Genomic DNA, 21,492 nt, shown 5'->3' on the forward strand with positions numbered 1-21,492 from the left:
CATCCTTGATATAAGGAGATGAAAATGATGCTATATCTGTTCTTCCTTCCAATAACTATAGCACCAGTTTTATCATAAGAAAATAATCAGACGAATTCCAATATTGGGCAACCTACAGAACATCTAACCAGGATTCCTCAAAATTGTCAAGGGCATCAAAAACAAGAGTTGTCTAAGAAACTGTGACAGCTAAGACAAGCCTAAAGAGACACGGCAACAAAACGTAACGTGGTATCCTGAATGGGATCCTGGCGCAGAAAAAGAAACACTACGTAAAAAACTAAAGAAATCTGAATAAACTGTGGATGTATATGTTAATAACAATATACAAATATTGGTTCACTAATTGTGACAGATGACCCACACTAATGTAAGATGTTAATAATAGGGGAAAGTGCACACAGACTATATGAGAATCCTCTTTACTGGCTTCTTAATTTTTCTGTAAATCTAGAAATGTTCTAAGAAAGGAAGTCCATTAGAAAAATCCCAAAAGTCCACCCAGAAAAAAAAAAAAAGGCGAGTGAAGGCATAAAATGCATTCACACATTTTCAACAAAAAAATCTACTGTGAATTAATAAGATATCCTTAATCATTTGCCAAGAGAATATATTGATATTCTTTATCCATGCAGAGATTTTCTCTTTTTTTTTTTTTTTTTTTTTTTTTTTTGAGACAGGGTCTTCTTGCTCTGTCACCCAGGCTGGAGTGCAGTGGCGCGATCTCGGCTCACTGCAACCTCCACCTCCTAGGTTCACGTCATTCTCCTGCCTCAGCCTCGCGAGTAGCTGGGACTACAGGCGCGTGCCACCACGCCTGGCTAATTTTTTGTATTTTTAGTAGAGACGGGGTTTCACCGTGTTAGCCAGGATGATCTCAAGCTCCTGACCTCGTGATCCACCCACCTTGGCCTCCCAGTGTGCTGGGATTACAGGCATAAGCCACTGCACCCGGCCTTCCCTTTCTGTCAAACAAACAATGAACACATGTGCAATGATATTCAGCAAGGCAATTTAGTTAGAAGAGGATACAAATCAAGAATTATGCAGAAAATATAGGCCAATGGGGCTAGTATCATTAGTAGTTTTAATTAGTAGTTTCTTGCTATTAACCTAGGTATGTCATCAGATGGGCTCCTTAATGAATTGGTCCTCTTTCTTGCTTTATGCCACTGGGCTCAACTCAATTTCCCTCTTAAAAATTTGCCAAAAACAAAAGCAACTGTCCATCACATGACACGTAAATGGGAGTACATACCTATTTCATTTAAGCAAAGCACACTTGTTAAAACACAACTATTTTTACATGTCAGCGAAGATGGCATTGCGAGTTGGCACACTGCTCTCAGCTTCTCATTACCACCCTTCTTGCTTGCTTGCTTGCTTTCTCTTCCTTCTTTTTAATGTAAAATTCTTTGCTGAAGCATAACAAAGAAATAAGAAAGTTCAGCCCAATGGATTTTCAAAGTGAATACATCCACGAGGTAAGCACCTAGAAACAGAGCATTACTGAACTCCTGTAGCCCCAGTGTGTCCCCTTCCAGACAGAAGCCTCCAATGGTAACCACTATCTCAAGATCTAAAAGAATTGGTTTGTTTTGCTTGTTTTTTGAAATACATATAAATGGAATCCTATGGTGCATATTTTTTTTGTGTGGGTCCTTTTAGCCATTATTATGAATCCTATGGTGCATATTTTTTGTGTGTGGGTCCTTTTACCCATTATTATGTTTGTCAGCTTTATCCATGCCACTGCATTTTAAAAATTTTTCTGTGATTGAATTATGCCATTGTATGAATACATAACGACTTACCCATTCTACTGGGTTGGGTTGTTTCCAGTTTAGCACTGTTGCAAGTAGTATTGCTATGAACGTGGCTATAATTGACTGTTACCCTCTGGTTAACTTTGCTGCACCTCCATGGCCTAGAATCTCCAGGAAGGAAGTCAACTAAATATTTCCTGAAATCACAAGCCCATGTGTTTGTGCAAAATCACTTTTAAATTTCTGCATACCTTTAATGATGCCATTCAAAAAGGGCCAAGGCCACATTTTTCTCAGTCTACCTGGTAAGTGATGAAAGTGTTCCTCTAAGTGTAGGCAAGCAAAGAAGAAGGATGGTGGTATTGAAAACAGAAAGGGCTACACTTCAGGCAGGAGAGAAGCTTAGCATTAGCTGATGTCAATGCAGTGTAACGAGTGGGCATTTAATGTTATGGTTATGGTATAATACAAGAAACCAACAGAGTCCTGAACAAAAATAAATTCCTGCTCTTGGACACTTTACCCAGCTATTGCCACACAATAACTTTGGACTAATTACTAGACCTGTTTCTTTGGTCTCTGATGACAAAGTTCCCCTTCAAGAGGATTTCCGCTGCTTTCCAGCCACTAAAAACTCTAGGTGGTAAGTGTATATGTGCATGTGTTGAAATCCTCATACTTGAAGTAGATCTTGTTAATTACTACATAATTGAGTTAATCCAATGTCGCAGCAAAATATTCTTCTGAATCCCAAGTTGTCTGAGGTACAAATTTGTCACTGAACATCATCTGAAACTCTCCATGCAAAATTCGTTTACTGAAGCCCAGGTGAGAATCTGTAAGGAATAATTTAAGCATATACAGACAGTCCCCAACTTAAGACGGTTCAATTTACAATTTTTCAACTTTACGATGGTGCAAAAGCAATATGCGTTCAGTAGAAACCATATTTCAAATACCCATACAACCCTTCTGTTTTTCACTTTCAGTATAATATTTAATAAATTATAGGAGATATTTAACACTTTATGATAAAATAGGCTTCACATTAGATGCTTTTGCCCAATGGTGAGCTAAGGTAAGTGTTCCGAGCATGTTTAAGATAAGCTAAGCTGAGCTATGATGTCTGGTTAGGTGTATTAAACACATTTTTGACTTAATGATATTTTCAACTTACCATGGATTTACTGGGATATAACCCCATGGTAAGTCAAGGAACATCTATATATTTATTTTCAGCATGTATTAATCATAATAGTATTTTAAGAGACATTTTACAAGAGAGATGAATTATAGATTCTGAGGCTATGACATGGCCATTAAATAACCTCTGCTGACAAATAAATTCAGAAAACCCTTAGAAAAGAAAAAAGTTATTCTCCATAATTTCCTCTAATGTTGACTAAAGGAAAAGAAAGTAATCAAGGTACCAACTTTTTCTGAGTTGAAGTAAAATTGATCACAAGGTCTTTCATCTGTTTATACCCGAGGCTAAAGATTGCAATCAAGCTAAGAGGTTTCCTTTACAATAACGTGTAAAAAAGATGCTTTTGTAGAGAGAATTTAGTATAGCCTCAGAGTTGCACATTTTTCTAAACCTCCATAGTAGGAACATCTCTGAGATAGAGACAACATTGGCCAAAATTTTAAGTCCTCAAACCTTTAGCCTACACATTACCTCCCTAAAAGGGGCCAAAGAATAAATGCAGAGGGCCGGGCGCGGTGGCTCACGCCTGTAATCCCAGCACTTTGGGAGGCCGAGGTGGGTGGATCATGAGGTCAGGAGATCGAGACCATCCTGGCTAACACGGTGAAACCCCGTCTCTACTAAAAATACAAAAAATTAGCCGGGCATGGTAGCGGGCGCCTGTAGTCCCAGCTACTCGGGAGGCTGAGGCAGGAGAATGGCGTGAACCCGGGAAGCGGAGCTTGCAGTGAGCCGAGATCGCGCCACTGCACTCCAGCCTGGGCGACAGAGCGAGACTCCGTCTCAAAAAAAAAAAAAAAAAAAAAAAAAAAAAAGAATAAATGCAGAGGAGGCGAGTGGGCAGAGAGACATTTCTCAACACTAATCATGATTGGGCTCCAAATTCTTGTCTTCTCTCTCACTCTTGAGAGAGGACTGGATCAGATGGGTCAAGAATGCCATTTGCTCCTAGAGCACACATAAGGAAGATGAGACCAAGTTTTTGGATAATTAAATATTTTACCAAATGGGAAAGGCTTAGAAAATTACTAGCTGGTAATGAGCATGCAATAAACATGAGCTTTCATTTGTATCATTCCCTAGGCTCACTACTTGATCCTGACCCTATAGCTTTTAATATTCTGATGGTGATAAGAGGCATAAAAACATAAACCAATAAAAATAGTTTTCTCACTAGAGCATCTCATTCTGTCATTTCTTTTGTGTCCTAACCTTAACCATATTTGGCTTCTAAAGTTGCAGAAAACTTCCCCAGGCTCATTTGACCATATCGATGTCATGGAGTTCTGAGAGAAAGAATTCAGGGAGAAGCATGATTAAAGAAGGGAGTGATCCCTGCAAAAGATGCCTAACAAATATCAAAACTTCCCCAGGATAATAGCCTCAATGTGTATTACGTATTGTGATTAACAGCTCTTACAGTGGTGCAAGGAAGCAAAACCAAGGGGAAGGAACAAATCCCACCACAATGAAGAGAGGTATTTGGGCCATACAAACTCTTATAAAAGCCTGGTTCTCTACTCAAGAGTCTGAGGCAGAAGGATTGCTTGAGCCTAGGTGTTTGAGGTTACAGTGAGCTATGATCGTGCCACTGCACTCCAACCTGGGCAACAACATGGTGAGACCGTGTCTCTAAAAAATTATAATAATAATAACATTAAAAAAAGTTCTATGAGCTGGGTTTAACATGTGCTACTCACAAAGTGCTTTCTGTAGTATAAGGATAAAACTACATCCTTAGAATCTTCAAGACAGAATGCTATTTATTTCCCATTGTCTGTCAACCCGAAGTTGCCCCCACAAAAACGGAGGATCTAAATGTCAGTTTAAAATGGGGCTTACATATGTATACATGTGCCATGACATGTACCCTAAAACTTAGAGTATAATAATAAAAAAAAAAAAAAAAAAAAAAGAAAAAAAAAAGAAAAATGGGGCTTACAAAGTGTGTTCCATTCCTAATCACTTTTGCGAATTTGCTAAATAGTCCAATTAATTGGTTTTCTTCCAGATATTTTCTGGTTCTGCAATTCCATTTTGAATGTTTCTAGCATACTTTGATACAAACCAATCAGCAACTAAGCCCATAGACAACAATAAAATAACTCCAGGAAAAAAAAATAGGCATGGTTGGTGTTGGATATGAACAACAAACAATATGTGAACATAAGCAAATCATTAGGGAAAATCTTCATTTTCTCCGATATTTTCATTTTGATTTAATAGGCACAGAAAACATATGCTACAATTATGGAAGGTAATACATCAAATGAAAGATACATCACATAACACAATGAGCCTTTGGAGATGTGTGAAATGATAGCACAAGGCCCTGAAAACTTTAAAAATAGAGGCATTCTGAGTCTCTGCAAACCTTTGGAGAATTAAGAGAACCAAATAAGGCAATTTATTACTTTCTACAGCTTACAATCCTAAGAGATTTAGGGAATGTACATTTATATGCTTCTTGTATAAGGTTGGTTAACACAGGAGGTCAGGGTATTTTCTTTACATTTCATTTCTGTAGAACTCTTGAAATTACATAGATTTGAATGCCAGAGGGAAAATAGAAGTTTCCGTTGCATGTTTGATAAGAAGCATTTCAAGTTAAAGGTCAATGGTCAATGTTCTGATGAGTGGCCTACAAGCCCGAGCTTTTGCAAATAATGGCATGTGCTTTCCTTCTCCAAAAATAATGACAAGCAGATGAGAAGGGACTCCCAGATGGGGAGGCCAATTGAAGGGCAAATGAGCCTGTCCTGCACTTGAAAATCAGAGCATGTGACAGAGAGCAAGTAACACTTTTCAGAGCTCTAGTGGGCTGATTTGCATCCAAATAGCAACTCGAGACAAGCAATCCATTCTTTTAATATATATTATTTGTCTTTTGGGGCATAGGAGGCTATACTAAGAAACCATGAATTTCATTCCTCAAAAAGTTTACCATCAAAGAAAATTATAGGAAATAAAAATTACTAGGTACCTAAACAAACAAACAAACAAACAAAAAACAGCAAAAAAAGAGGCTCAAGAAAAATAAATTTGTTGGATCAAAATTTTACATATTAGAAAAATATATATTTGTGCAAATAGTAAACCCAATCTAATGTACAAAAACTTTAAAATATTAAGGACATCCAATTGGTAACACAATATGTTGCTATTAAAAATAATAGAGTACTTCTAGACTAACTATAACTTTGGTACGAGGATCTTACTGTTTCCTTCAAATCCCAATAAAAGTGATGAAAGAAAAATAAAATAGAGGAGTAATTGCAGAACATTGAACAGAAAATCAAGGTGACATTCACGTGGCGCAATCTTTGAGGTAGTTCCACATAAATTCCTAAAGATCTAGCAAATTCTTTGAAAATCATACATTTACATAATGAATCCTGGGGGGACAGGAAGAATATGGAACTGAGAGCAAACAGTTCAAAACCTTGTTGACATCTGCTGTACTCAGAGGCAAATGCTGTGAGATAGGAGTTCAGCAGACTCCGCAGATAAAACAGGATGCAGTAAAGAAGCTGGCCAAACCTCCCAAAACCAAGATGGCAAAAAAAGCCACCTCTGGTGGTCCTCACTGCTCATTATACCCTAATCATAATGCATTAGCATGCTAAAAGACACTCCCACCAGCACCACGACAATTTACAAATACCATGGCAACATCCAGAAGTTACTGTACGTGGTCTGAAAGGAAGAGGAACCCTCAGTTCCAGGAATTCCACACCCCATTCCTGGAAAACTCATGAATAATCCACCCCTTGTCTAGCATGTGACTAAGAAATAATCATAAAAATAGTCAACCAGCCTATGGAGTAGCCACCCTTTCATTCTTTTATGTCTTAATAATTTGCTCTCACTTAACTCTGTCTGCTCACTCTTGAACTCCTTCCTGTGCAAAGCGAAGAACCTATATGACTTCTCAAACTGAACCCCAACTTTGAGGTTCGCCCTGTGACACAACTATGTGAAATAAGAAGCCCAGTGGTGGAGCCTTTCCCTGACATGGTAGGCCGTCCTCCAGGATGATGGTGGACACCATCCTTGCCCGCTCACATTCTGCTGAGAATGAAGGCTCAGTAAAAAATTACATATGAAAGCTGGCCTTTGCCAAAGAAGCATAGCTGTCTACAGAGAACAAACTGTACTAAAATAAAGTCTGTTTATTTCCCCTTATCCCAGGCACTGGATCATAGAACTGATAACGTCACCTTTTATCAACAATTTCTTCTGCAAAACATACTAGAAAAGAATTTTAATAACATCCTTATGGACAGTGAGAGGACACAAACAAAGCTTCTGACTACGTTTCTGATGAATACCAGGCTGCAATGGTGTACCAACAAAATCCAATATCACACCTGGATTTTACTGTGCGAAGTTGAAGAAGCAAAAGAATATTGCTTGGTATTGATCTTTCCTAAGAAAACAGAGGTAAATTATGATGTATTAATAAGTTTACAGTAAAATTCTATGAAAGATGAAGTACTTAAAATAGGGAAAAAGAAAAGATGATAAAATAGTAAAACAGAGCTGAATAAGACACAGAAAAAAATGTAAAAAATTAGAAATGCCATGGATAAAAGCAGCCTTACAGAAGCCAAAATACATCGGAAGGTTTCATCTAAGATATGAAATTAACCAATTTACTACAACTACCAGAATGCACTGAAATAAGACAGAGATGAAAACTGCAAGAGAAACTATGATAGGCTATTTGACATCACTGAAAAAGAGACTGCAAAAAAAATAAATATATTTTTAAATATATGATATATATATTTTTAATACATCATATTTCATAAATATTATATAACCCCTGAGATGAAGGCTACAATCTTCATATCTCAAAAAACTTTCAACTTTCCAGAAACAAAATTTAAAAAATAGGGGAAAAAACCTAACATACCCTGGTAAATAAAACTTTAGCATCAAATCCAAAAAAAAGTCATACAAGCAACCATGCAGAAAAACAAAAGAAAAATATAAAAACTCGCCATAGACTCTTCTGCTTTATTATTTGTAAGAACACTATGAAACAAGACTACAGATTTGTGAGAAGTAAAACGTTATAAACAGAAATTCTAGAACAAACAAAACTGAATGTTTCACATATTATACAACAAAGCATTCTCAAATACCCTCATAAAGCAAACATATGTTACTTACCTTTAAAAAACAATTTAGAGACATATTCTAGGTAACCATGAGACAGATTGAAATCAGGAACTCAGGAATAGAGAAATCAAGGTGGAGAAAAGTTACCTGACAGTGACGTCTCATCACCTCCATACACAGCTAAGTCTAAATTGTTGTAAATGCCATTATTTAAAAAGAATGGAAACTGTATAAATAATTATTGAATAGTAAATACATACTACAAAATATTATATAATAAACTGGGAATATTTTGCAAAGTGCATAATGAAGATAGTATTTTATTTGTAAATATCTCTTACAAATTTTAAGCATAAACACTACTGTTAAAACCAAAAAGAACACACGAAAACCACACACACACATAAACAGGCTAAATCCCAAAAGAAAAACAAAGCCACATAACCATTTGTTTAAGAGATTTCTAAAGTTATAATTTTAATCATCTCATCTTGGAGTGTAACAAAAAGAGAACCAGCTATCAGCCTGTGTATCAGGAATTTTCCGCAGAAAATTTGTATTACTTTCTCTTCCTAAAGAGACGTAACAGACAAAATTATTATGTGTAGGTTACATATTGAGCATATCTTATTTTTAAATATATAATAAATTATTATCATTGTGTACTTACCTGTAAGACTTGGCCAGAAGATTATATGACTGAAATAAAAACAATTGAGTCAATTAGAATTTCCAGTTTCTACCTGGCAATTCTAAGGAAACAAACCAACGACAAGAGCCAATGCTGATGTAACAACATGGTAGAAATAGAACAGTCAAGAACACTGTTTATGGGAACGTAAATTAGTATAGCCATTATAGAAAGCAGTATGAAGGGTTCTCAAAAAACTACATATAGGGCCGGGCGCGGTCGCTCAGGCCTGTAATCCCAGCACTTTGGGAGGCCGAGGCGGGCGGATCACGAGGTCAGGAGATTGAGACCATCCTGGTTAACACGGTGAAACCCCGTCTCTACTAAAAATATAAAAAATTAGCCGGGCGTGCTGGCAGGCACCTGTAGTCCCAGCTACTCGGGAGGCTGAGGCAGGAGAATGGCGTGAACCCGAAAGTCAGAGCTTGCAGTGAGCCAAGATCGCGCCACTGCACTCCAGCCTGGGCGTCAGAGGGAGACTGCGTCTCAAAAAGAAAAAAAAAAAAGAAAAAAAAAAGAAAACTGCAAATAGAACTACTATATAATCCAGCAATCCCACTACGGATTATCCAAAGGAAAGGAACTCAATACATCAAAGGGATAGCTGCACCCCATGTTTACTGCAGCACTATTCATAATAGCCAAGATATGGAATCAACATAAATGTCCATCAACAGATGGTGGATAAAGAAAATTGTGGTATACATACACAATGGAATACTGTTCTAAAAAAAGAATGAAATACTGTTATTCACAGCAACAGGGATGAGTCATGTTATTAATTATTAATGACTTATTAAGTGAAATAAGTCAAGCACAGGAAGGTAAATACCACATGTTTTTTACTCATATGCGGCAGCTAAAAAACAATTGAACTCATGGAAGTGGAGAGTAGAACTGTAGGTATTCGAAGCTGGGAAGGGGAGGAGGAGAGGATAGGGAGAGGTTGGTTAACGGGCTACAAAATTGAAGCTGCACAGGAGGAATGAGCTCTGGTGTTCTGCAGCACTGTAAGATGAAGATGATTAACTGCAATTTATTGTATATTTTCAAAACGCTCCAAAAGAGGATTCTGAATATTCTCAATGCAAAGAAAAGAATGAATTCTTTGTGATAGAGATGCTAATTTCCCTGACTTGCTCATTATGCATTGTATACACATACGGAAATATCACTCTGTATGCCATAAATATGTACAATTATGACATGTCAACTAAAAATAAAAGGAACAAAATAACAACACTTTTAAAAAATTTAAAAAAGAATCAGCCTTTTCTGACAGTGGCTAAGGAAAAGTCAACAACCTCAAACGGCTATAGGTAGGCAGATCTGCTAAAGTATAGATTTTCAGACATTTGCTAGGAGAACCAACCAAGATTTCCCCCTAAGAAGTACCTGCGACCAAATCTCAGCCTCAGGAGGGCCCAAGAGAGGTCGTCAGGGCCATATTCTTTGCCAGCCACACTCAAAGACAAGGTCCACACTGTGAGCCCTGGGATCATAAGTGGACAAAGGGGAATAAGGGATCGGTGGTACTAGGATTGACTTTTTTATTGTTTTCATTTTCTCCAATGAACATACATAATGTTTCCATTCAAAAAACAGAATAATATTTTTCAAATGGTTGTTGCAGATAATATGTGATATGGGCCACATTCATGACATAAGTGCTAAGTGTAAATTTTATTTACAACTCTGAGGAACAAAATAAGCTTGGAAGGGAATATTTAAAAACAAAATGACATGAACAGTAAGATTATGAATTATTAAGGTTTGTCCTCTAATGTCTAAACATTCCATAAGATGGTTATATGTTTTAATCATTTTAGATATTTTAAACATAATTGGAATCCAATCATTCTGCAACACATATATATTAAGACATATGTACCAGAATAGTATCATATCTTCTAGCCTTTAAACAGATTACAGGAGGATCAATGAATCTTAATATATATTAGAAGGCCTTTTTTGATTCGAAGCATTCACAAATAATAAAATAAACCTGGAGATTTAAAACGGAGGTGATTTTCAAAGGAACATTTTTTTTTGGAACCCACTCTTTTTAGAAACTGTAGTAGTAATCATTGATTAATTATTGGCATTGCTGGAATTTTACAAGTGACAAATTTCACATCTAATCATGGATGACAGAATCTCCAAAGACTGGATATATTGCAACTAAAGCAATCAAACAAATACAAGTTATTTTGGATACAGCAAAGACCACAGAAAGACTTTAATGAAATTTCAGTAATCCTTGCTAGGAGAGAAATTCACAAGGCCAGAGAACCCTAACTTCTGAAACTATTGTTCTTCAGAGCATTTGAAGAGCCCATTGTCAGAGAAATTGAAGTGGATCTGGCTTTTGATTTAAAATAAGTTCCTATCATGAACTGTCACTTCCAGGCATTCCAACCTCAGGCACATGATGAGCTGTGGATGGCAGAAGCTATAATCAGAGGTAAAGCAACTGGTGATAAAGTACAAGGTGCCATAAGTTTCAATATAAATCAATAGAGAAATTCCATCTCTATCCAGTTAAATCATTTCTAACTTTACTGTCTTACAGGAAATACAACCTGTGTCAAAAGAAAGGCAAAGTCAGAATCTACTGCTATAATTCCTATAACGTCTATTTTCTTAACAGTGCTTCAGCAAACTCTTTTGGTGCTGTTATGTGAAAAGTATCTCCCCTTAACCCTGGGTGCAAGGGTAGAATCCCATTGTGTTGGCAGGTAAGAGCTCACAGCTGCTCCCTTCTCCAGGAATTGCCCTCAGCTGGCAAAATCTGCTTTACCACAGCCTCCTTAGTCATAGCCACCAGTTAATGACTGAGTGATTTTGGAGTACAAAAGGTCAACAACCTTGCCATTCATGCAGTGAATACTCTAAAGTTCCCAGCTCCCCACGCCCCACACACATACCCAGCTTCCATGTATCAGACCATGCCCAGCCTTCATCTGATACCACATCCTTGCCTGGCTCTTTCTCCTTCCCTTCTTCCCTCTCTTCTCTTTCCTTCTTCACTCCCTCCACTAAGGGATTTTTCCTGAAGATCACTTCCTCAGTAAATAAATCACTGTCACCTGAATTCCTATTTCAGGCACTGATTCTACAGAACCAACCTAAAACAGAACAAAAATGAAAATAAACATACTTAAAAATCAAATTAAATTTTAAGACTTAGGCTGCACAAATCTCTGGATATTCCATCAATGTGTATTTGACCTTCTTTATTCCTCTCCCGAAGAGAACTTCTCCAGTGTATCTTATTCCCCACTGCCTTTAAGACACTGACATCGGTTCAACAATTGTATGTTGACTTCCCAGGTGTATATGACAATGCTTAAGACTATTGCTAAGCACAGCCTTAATGTTTGGAATAACATAATGACAGCAAGATTCAACTCCTAGCTCTAAAAAAAAAAAGAAAAAAGAAGATTCCACTCCTGACATACTCGGACTGCAGTTTTGTATCCAACAACTCTGAAATTAGTAGGAGAAGAAAAGATACACTCTCTGCCCCTCAAATATTTTTATCCTTTACAAAGCAGAAATGCAGAACACCTTTGATGCCAAGTGTTACTTACCCTACACTGCCCTTCCTCACCTTTCTGTGGCTCCTAAACCACTTAACATGGTGTGTGGTGGCTCAGGCTTGTAATCCCAACACTGGGAGATAAGGCAGGATTGCTTGAGCCCAGGAGTTTGAGACTGGCCTGGGCGACGTAGCGAGACTCTGTCTCTACAAAAAAATTCAAAAAGTTAGTCAACCATGGTTGTGCGTGCCTGTGGTCCCAGCTACATGGGAAGCTGAGGCAGGGGGAGCACTTGAACCAAGGAGGTTGAGGCTGCAATTAGCAGTTTTCACACCACTGCACTCAAGCCTGGGCAACAGAGAAAGACCCGTCTCAAAAAAAAAAAAAAAAAAAAAAAAGTGAGAGAATTTGTTTTGATTTGCTTTAATTCCTCCTAATGAGAGTTTTAATTTCCATTTCAATCATTGGGGAAAAATTTTTTGAAAGCATCTGCTCTGTACCAGGGCCTGGAGATTAGGGTAATGAAAAAACAGACAAAATCCTTTTTTTTTTTAAATGATGCTTACATTCTAACTGTGGAACACACACACACACACACACACACACACACACACACACACACTAAAACAAAACAAATTGTGTTATATCCAGACAATGAAATATAGTTCAGTACTAAAAAGAAATAAGCTATCAAGCCATGAATAGAGGAAACTTACATGCATGTTACTAAGTAAAAGAAGCCAATCAGAAAAAGCTACATACTGTATGATTCCAACAATGTTACATTCTGGAAAACCTAAAACTATGGAGACAGTAAAAAAGATCAAGGGTTGCCAGAATTTCGGAGGAAGAAGGAAGGAATAGGCAAAGCACAGAGGATTTTTAGGACAGTGAAACTGCTCTGTATGATCCTACAATGTTGGTGCATGTCGTACATTTGTCCAAACCCACAGAATATACAATACCAAGAGTGAGCCCTAATGTAAATTATGGACTCTGGATGATAATGTGACAGTGTAGGTTCATCAGTTGCAACAATGCACCAGTCTGGTGGCAGATGTTGATAATAGAAAAGGCTACACCTGTGTGTGGGCAGAGGCTATATGGGAAATCTCTGTACCTTCTGCTTAGTTTAGCTGTAAACCTAAAACTACTCTACAAAATAAAACCTACTTGAAAAAAAAAACAGAATGCAAATAAAATTATAAATTCTAGTAAAGAAGAACATCCAAAAATAACTTTGTCTCTAAATTTTAATATAACATTTTAAACAAATTATTTTTTCCTCCATAAATTGCATTCTAGGCCAAGGAGCTTAGTAGTCCTTGGAATGTTTTAGTAAAATATAGATTGATCAAATATGTTAATATGACCTTATTTCCATTACAACTCAGAGAAGGGAAGAGTATATTCATCTAAAGAAAGTAATGGTTTCTCCAGTAAAATAAGTTGAATAATTTCATAATTTAACAGTGGCATTATTTGAAATAGCAAATACTTGATAAAAGATTTATCTATAAAATGCACACTTAAACTATAAAAATATTATTAGTATTTTTGGACAATTAGCTATTGTTCTGCACAATTTCACTAATAAAAATTTCACTAGCAAAAATTAAAATGGCTATAAGTAGCTAAAAGGTGCAGACTGTGAAATCATTCCTCAATAGTGGTCACTTAAATGAACTGTTCTCTCAATGTAGATGGTAGGTTTACCCAACAGTTGCATTGCCCAATTATTTGCATACTAACCGTGTCTTGTGAACACTGCAGCATCCATCACAGCCTTTGTTTCATGATCCACATTGAGACTGTGCTTCCAACTGGACCACAGGAGTAATGGTAACTTTGAGATTACTTTGAGATTAACAACCAGATCTGAAAAAGGAATCACACACAGCTCTAGCTGCAAAAGGGACTGTAAACTCTATGAGATGGTACAATGCTTGAGGAAGATATGACATATCCCCAGCATAGAAGATACTAAATAAATGCCTATGGAATGAATGAATAAGCAAAAACAACATACACTTATATTGTGAAAGCTCGAATTTTATGCTCCTTCGTGTTCCCAATTAACTCAGAAGGAATACTTCATGGAATCATAGAAAATTATTTCCCCAGTGATAAAGAAAACTAGGTTAAACTAGAAGGCATACTATAAGTCATTTTGTAACTTTAATATATAGGTTAATGATTATTGACTGGAGTTTGAGATTAATAGGTCACACTTGCTGTAGCTGTAAAAATAAGTACTGTGTAAAATATGTAACATCTAAAATGTATTTAATAAAGGAATGTGTCTAATATAAATATTTTCAGGGATATTTTATTAAATAGATTTTTCTCACATCTTTCAATAAGGAGTCAGGCAAAAAACATACTATTCTATCTATCTATCTATCCACCTCACTCCTTTTCATTGCTGAATCCCAAATTTGCTCTGATTAAGTGGTAGCATTGATTCTATAGCTGGTTTCCTTTCTTGACTATTTGAGGATCTCCTATAGTTCACTCTTAAGAACTTTGCAAGATATTGCTTAAATTCTCCTTCAGTCTAGCCAGTTTTATTCTGACCTTCTATACCTTCTAGATATTTACATTGTCTTTTCATGAACCTACATTTAAGTTTCACAGGTGTCTTTTTTTTCTTGCAATAGCTTCATTGACTTTGCCTGTCAGTTATGCTATGAAAACTTGCAACAGACTTTATATACTTACTATACTCATACTTAAAAATTAAACTAATTATTTAACTAAGATTAAACATAAAATTTATTCTTTATCAAAAAATTAAAATAACGGAAAAAATAAAAATAAAATAGAAAAAAAATAGAACATGTGGAAAATACACCAAAAATATAAAAAATAAAAACATAATAAAAATGAAATTTATGCTCATCAAATGTACAGATTTCAGAAAGCTGGAAAGTAGAATAATATATCAGTTAGGTACAAAGGTAATTGTGGCATTTAATGACAAAAACCACAATTACCTTTGTAAGAACCTAATAATAAAACCAAAATTAAATATCACTATGAGAGATTGGATCTCAAACTCAAAAGGTGAATTTAAAGCCCTGTATTTATGTTCAAAAAATAATTACATAAGTACAGAATGAGAAGATAGGTAACATAGCTAAAATTCACTTGGAAAAAACATAAAAGTTTTAACTGTGAACTCACTAGGATCAATTTTAGGATGGGACAACTTGAAAACTAAATCCAGTCTAGCTGCATTGATAGAAGTCATATGAAAGTAAAATTCTACTGCATTCTAGTGCTTCTCAAGGTTTTCTCAAGAATATTTTCCATCTAAATACAACTTTTAAGAAAAAATCACCAGTGGTGTTTTCAACCTTAATGCTTCATCAATTTGACTCACTGAACTGTGTACTGAAACTATTGGAGCTACTTAGGAGTGAGATAAAGTGCTCCACTGAGAAAATCCAAAGAGTGGGAAGTCAAGAATGAGACAGCAAGTAGAAAATGTGAAATCATTGGGGTGAAAAGGAAGACTCCAACAAAAGGCAATAAAATAGCATTCACTCAAATACTGATGAAATGTTCTCCATTATCCATATGCCAGCAGCTGAATGACACCAACACCATGCCATTACCTAAGTAATTGCACACATTTGTAATTCACAAAGAACTAAATGGATATCTGAATTTATCTTATTTTCATCTGCCTTCTATTCGATTTGTCATTACAAGTATGTGAATTGTTACTGTTTGTGTAACTGCTCCTGATACATGAAACGTTAAGTAGTTAGCACCAAGAAGATCCTAACACATTTCAACATTACATCATGGCTGGTGGTGAAATGATATTACATTTACTTTTTTTTAGAAAGTTTGACTTATATAGTGTGCATTTCAGTGAATCTGTTATTAATGATATTTTCAAACATTATATAATTATCTATTTCAAGAATCATAACCACTTCCCAGAAAATGGTTCTCCTATTCATTGAAGAACATATGAAGTATATTCTGCATATGTTGATATGTACTTGAGAGATAGGAGAAAAAAAGTACTATTTCTGTATCACATCTATTTACTGATTTGAAATACTATTATTATTATTATTGCCCAAATGTTTATTTTGCAATAATTATAACCACACTAACATCTACCCAACAACTAAAAAATGAATTCTTAGTCTTCTGTAAACACAATAAGCATCACACCATTTTAATAATTAAACTGAATGCCTTCCCTTTACATTTCTCCTACTTCTCCAAGTCATCTCAGCCCCAGCCACTCTCTAAGTAAAAAGAGGAGAAAGAAATAGCAGGTATTTGGGCAAGTAGGTTTTTTTACACTAACTAACATTGTTTCCCTCATAAAAGCAAGCTACAGATAATTCTTTCCTGTATTCTTAATTTCTCAGCACCACTAGCAGGACTAGTTCAAAACCATGGTACAATATCAAATTCAAGTACGCTAATATCATAATAATGAGGATCCCTGTTAAAACATCACTGAACATTAGAATGTAATTTAATGGCTGAGTGGCTTGAAGAATTTAATCTCCTTCCTCAACATGGCACAAGAACTGCTGCTACTTTCAGCATAAAAGTCCAGCAGATGGTGGAAAGTCTAGTCTGATAAGTATAACAGGCTTCATCAAGTACAGAAGGATCTGTATGAATTAAATGTATTACACTTAAAGGTATTACATAAATAAAGTCACTATTTCCCTTCTTAGAAATGTCTTGTCCTGACTTTTCCAACTTTCCTTTTCTCCCAAAGGGAAAAATAAACAAAAATCCAACGAGCCGTGTTGGTTAAACATTCACATCATTCCTATTGCCATGAGTACACAGCTCAACACACACATGATTTTTAGGAATATATAAAGTAAGTCAAAAGGGAACAGACAAGAGAGATTGAGACTAACTTCCAGACATTTAATATAATTATTGGATCAATCCAGACAATAATAAAACTAATTTGATTCTTCACTGAATGATCTGAAGAAATTTCTCTTTGATATCATAATCTCTAAAGGGAAGAAATAATGAGAAATAGGTCAGTGAAATTTAACACTGGATATCACAAGAATGTTATGGATTATACCTTCCACCAAAACATACAGAGCCTTTTTATGAGTATCCATGAGAAAAACTTCACTATGATTTTAGTACCAGAAACATTTCTCATTTGAAACTTATGGACATCATGATTATTTCAACTGCTTATGTTTCTCTGTTTGTTCTAGCTACTGAAAGGTCCAAGCCAAAGTTTTAATCCCCTTCTTACAAATGAAAATGACTTTCTGTGATGCTTCTGTCCCTGAATCTTTCATTTGGCATTAGATTATCTTACTATTTCTTTCCCTATACCTCAGGTATGTCCAAAAGTCAACTCCGGTTCTCTAATTCTCTTTTTAAATGTATGGATCAAAGTTTAGGTCTTACTCCATTTTGTGTTGCTATAAAGGAATACCTGACGCTAGGTGATTTATGAAAAACAAAAAAAGCATTGTTTGTTTGGCTCATGATTCTGATGCCTAGAAAGTTCAAGAGTGGGCATTGGCATCTGGTGAGTGCCTCAGGCGTCTTCCACTCATGGCAGAAGCCTAAAGGAAGCCGGCATGTACAGATATCACATCACAAGAAATGTGGAATCCGCCCCATCACCAAAACATACGGTTTGGAGGGGATAAACATCCAAACCATAGCAGTATGTATAAACAAGTAAATTGTATATTGGGATTCTTATTGTTTTTTTAAAAGATAATCAGTATAATCCTTTAAAAGAAACAAGCTTTTGGCCGGGCGCGGTGGCTCACGACTCTAATCCCAGCACTTTGGGAGGCCGAGGCGGGCCGATCACGAGGTCAGGAAATCGAGACCATCCTGGCTAATACAGTGAAAACCCGTCTCTACTAAAAATGCAAAAAAAAAAAAAAAAAAAAAAAAATCAGCTGGGCGTGGTGGCGGGCACCTGTAGTCCCAGCTACTCGGGAGGCTGGGGCAGGAGAATGGCTTGAACCCGGGAGGTGGAGCTTGCTGTGAGCCGAGATCGCGCCACTGCACTCCAGCCTGGGCGACAGAGCAAGACTCCATCTCAAAAAAAAAAAAAAGATACAAGCTTTTCCCAGTTCTACTTTCAGTGGAACGTCCTTTGGCTTTATGCGCAAAATTCATCAAGCAATACGAAAGAAAGTATCTTCCAAGACAATTTTATAGACAATGAGCAGCCAGTTTTAAATGATTATTTCCTGTTTCAATCTTTGATTAACAGTTGAATTCTTTGATTTCAGAATATTCCCCTTAATTGAATTTTCTTCTACCATACTAATCTACAGATTCCCAGTCTTCCCTCTTGTTCCTTAACTGGTAATTTTGGTGCGCTCAGCCCTTGGTCCATTCTCTTCTCTGTGTACTGTCTCTTCCTTGGATCACATCCAGTCTCATAGTTTTAGGTACCATCTATATGCTGGCCAGTCCCAAATTTGTATTGCCAGCCTAGACTACTCTCCCGATTTCAAGATTCATACATCCGACAGCTCAACATTGCCCCCTGAATGTCTAATAAACATTCCAAAGTCAAATTTCTAAAATCAGACTCATGATCTCATGATTTTCCTCCCAAACATGTTCCACTTATAGTCTTCCCTGTCTCATTTGATGGCAACACTATCCTTCCAGTTGTTCAGGCCAAAGCTCTGGAATTATCTTTGACTTTTTCTTTCCCGCCCTGTATCAAATCCATTCGATATTCTCTTGGATCTAGCTTTAAAATATTTCCAGAATCCAAAAGATTCTCACCACTTTTCACTGCTACAAAGCCACCAACCTCTCTTACTTAAGGTTTACAGCACTAGGTCTTCTCATTTCTTTTTACATATATTTATTATACTTTAAGTTCTAGGGTACATGTGCACAATGTGCAGCTTTGTTACATGTGTATACCATGGTATCTCCACACTCTATTTTTCACATGGAAGCCAGACTGAGCCTTTTAAATCGTCAGTTAAATCATGGCACTTCTCAACCCAAAACCATATAATGATTCTTCATTCACTTGCAGTAAATCCAAAGTCCTTACAAGGTCCCACAAGACTCTACAACTACTGGCCCCTCCATTACTTCCCCGACTTCATCTCCACTTTCACCTCCCCAACGCTGCTCAGCCACACTGGCCTCCTTGTTGTGAGAACACACCGGGGCACTCTACTTGCCTTAAGGCCTGAGTTCTAAGCTGTTCTCTCTGACTGGAAAGCTCTTCTCCCAAATATCCTTTGGCAACATCCTCACCTGTTTCGAAATTTGTTAATAATTGTATCTGTTCAATGACTACTAATTCAATACTACATCCTTCTAAGCTCTTTCCCCACAATTTTCCAGCCCTCCTAATCCCCCTTACACTTCTAAAAATTTTTTGTATATCACTTATCACCTTCTAACATAAAATATAAATCACTCATGTATTATGTTTATTGCTTTTTGTCTTTATCCCCTTGCTAGCATGGGATACCCAGAAAGATAAGGATCTTTGTATGGGGCTCTGATATGCTCTGGACACATAGAACAGAGCCAGGAACATAGTAGGATGGTAGGTGCTGATTATTTCTTGAATGAATTCATACAGGCTCATAATTCAATTGAAGGAAGATATTCCTGGGAGAACCAAAGTAACAAAATATAGTAATAAAATTGAGAAATTCTGGTTCCTGCCCTTTATCAAGTGAGTTTCCTGGATATCATTAACAAAAATAAGAAACATCAGTTCTACAGAACTTGTTTAATAAAAATACATTAAGCACAAATTTTCTGAGAAGTTTACTTGTTTTGTTTTGTTTGTTTTGTTTTTGTTATTGTCTTAAGTGACCATATATATATATATATATATATATATATATATATATATATCTCCTTTAAGTTCTGGGATACATGTGCAGAATGTACAGATTTGTTGCACAGGTATACACATGCCATGGTGGTTTGCTGTACCCATCAACCCGTCATCTACATTAGGTATTTGTCCTAATGCTATCCCACCCCTAGCCTCCCACCCTCCGACAGTCCCCACTGTGTGATGTTCCTCTCCCTGTGTCCATGTGTTTTCATTGTTCAACTCTCACTTATGAGTGGGAACATGCAGTGTTTGGTTTTCTGTTCCTGTGTTTGCTTGCCGAGAATGATGGAGAAATAGGAACGCTTTCACACTGTTGGTGGGAGTGTAAATTAGTTCAACCATTGTGCAAGACAGTGTGGCGATTCCTCAAGGATCTAGAATCACAAATACCATTCGACCCAGCAATCCCATTACTGGGGATATAACCAAAGGATTATAAATCATTCTACTACAAAGACACACGTACACGTATGTTTATTGCAGCACTTTTCACAATAGCAAAGACTTGAAACCAACTCAAATGTCCATCAATGATAGAATGAATAAAGAAAATGTGACACATATACACCATGGAATACTTTGCAGACATAAAAAGATGAGTTCATATCCTTTGCAGGGACATGGATGAAGAGAAGTTTACTTCTAATACTCTGAGAACATGCTTTTCAACATAGAAACATCAGCTGTTTTTCAACGAAGTATGAGCCCCTAAGTTTCTAACTGGCAATGTCCTTCTCCATCTGCAGTTTGAAGTATTTGATTGGTATCAACTAAAGCAAAGCAACATTGGAACAGGCACTAGTGCATCATGATGAAGAAATGTCAGTTAAGAGTGGTGTTATAAGGAAATATTCAGCTGAGACAGCCTTGAGCACGGTTGAGACATAGGGGAGATCCTCGGCACAAGAGAACACAGAAGGCAGTGTTTTCAAGCATTCAGTCTTGAATATTGCTTCAAGACTTTTTGCGTCAGGAAAAGAGGTGCTTCAGACTAGTCTTTTTAAAAACTTTTCAACCTCAAAAAGAGAAGTAAAGTTTGTTACTGAAGAACTATTAACATGGATGTTTACATAAACATAAGCACATTTAAACAAGAATGAATAGATCAAAATCACTTTGCAAGAAGCTAAATTTACAAAGAACACATACTCTATACACTCAAGCTTTGCTTTTTTGTTTATTTGATCTACTTTCTGTATTTGGCAGAAGAAACAGGAGGCTGGAGGCTGGGACAGATTTTATTAGATGGAAGGAGCAGAGGTCAGGAAATTATACTCCTCAGTTCA

The 21,492-nt window shown here is 36.5% G+C and overlaps 1 long non-coding RNA gene across 1 annotated transcript in view; it reads right to left on the bottom strand.

Moving 5' to 3' along the window:
* LOC101929028 (uncharacterized) overlaps positions 1–21,492 on the bottom strand; it is a 382,849-nt gene that overhangs the window by 311,850 nt on the left and 49,507 nt on the right. The window contains exon 2 of the long non-coding RNA XR_007061175.1: positions 14,086–14,211. This is a non-coding gene — a long non-coding RNA (uncharacterized LOC101929028). The remainder of the gene's footprint in view (positions 1–14,085; positions 14,212–21,492) is intronic.

This window comes from Homo sapiens, chromosome 8 (assembly GCF_000001405.40).
Source record: "Homo sapiens chromosome 8, GRCh38.p14 Primary Assembly".
Taxonomy (NCBI): domain Eukaryota; kingdom Metazoa; phylum Chordata; class Mammalia; order Primates; family Hominidae; genus Homo; species Homo sapiens.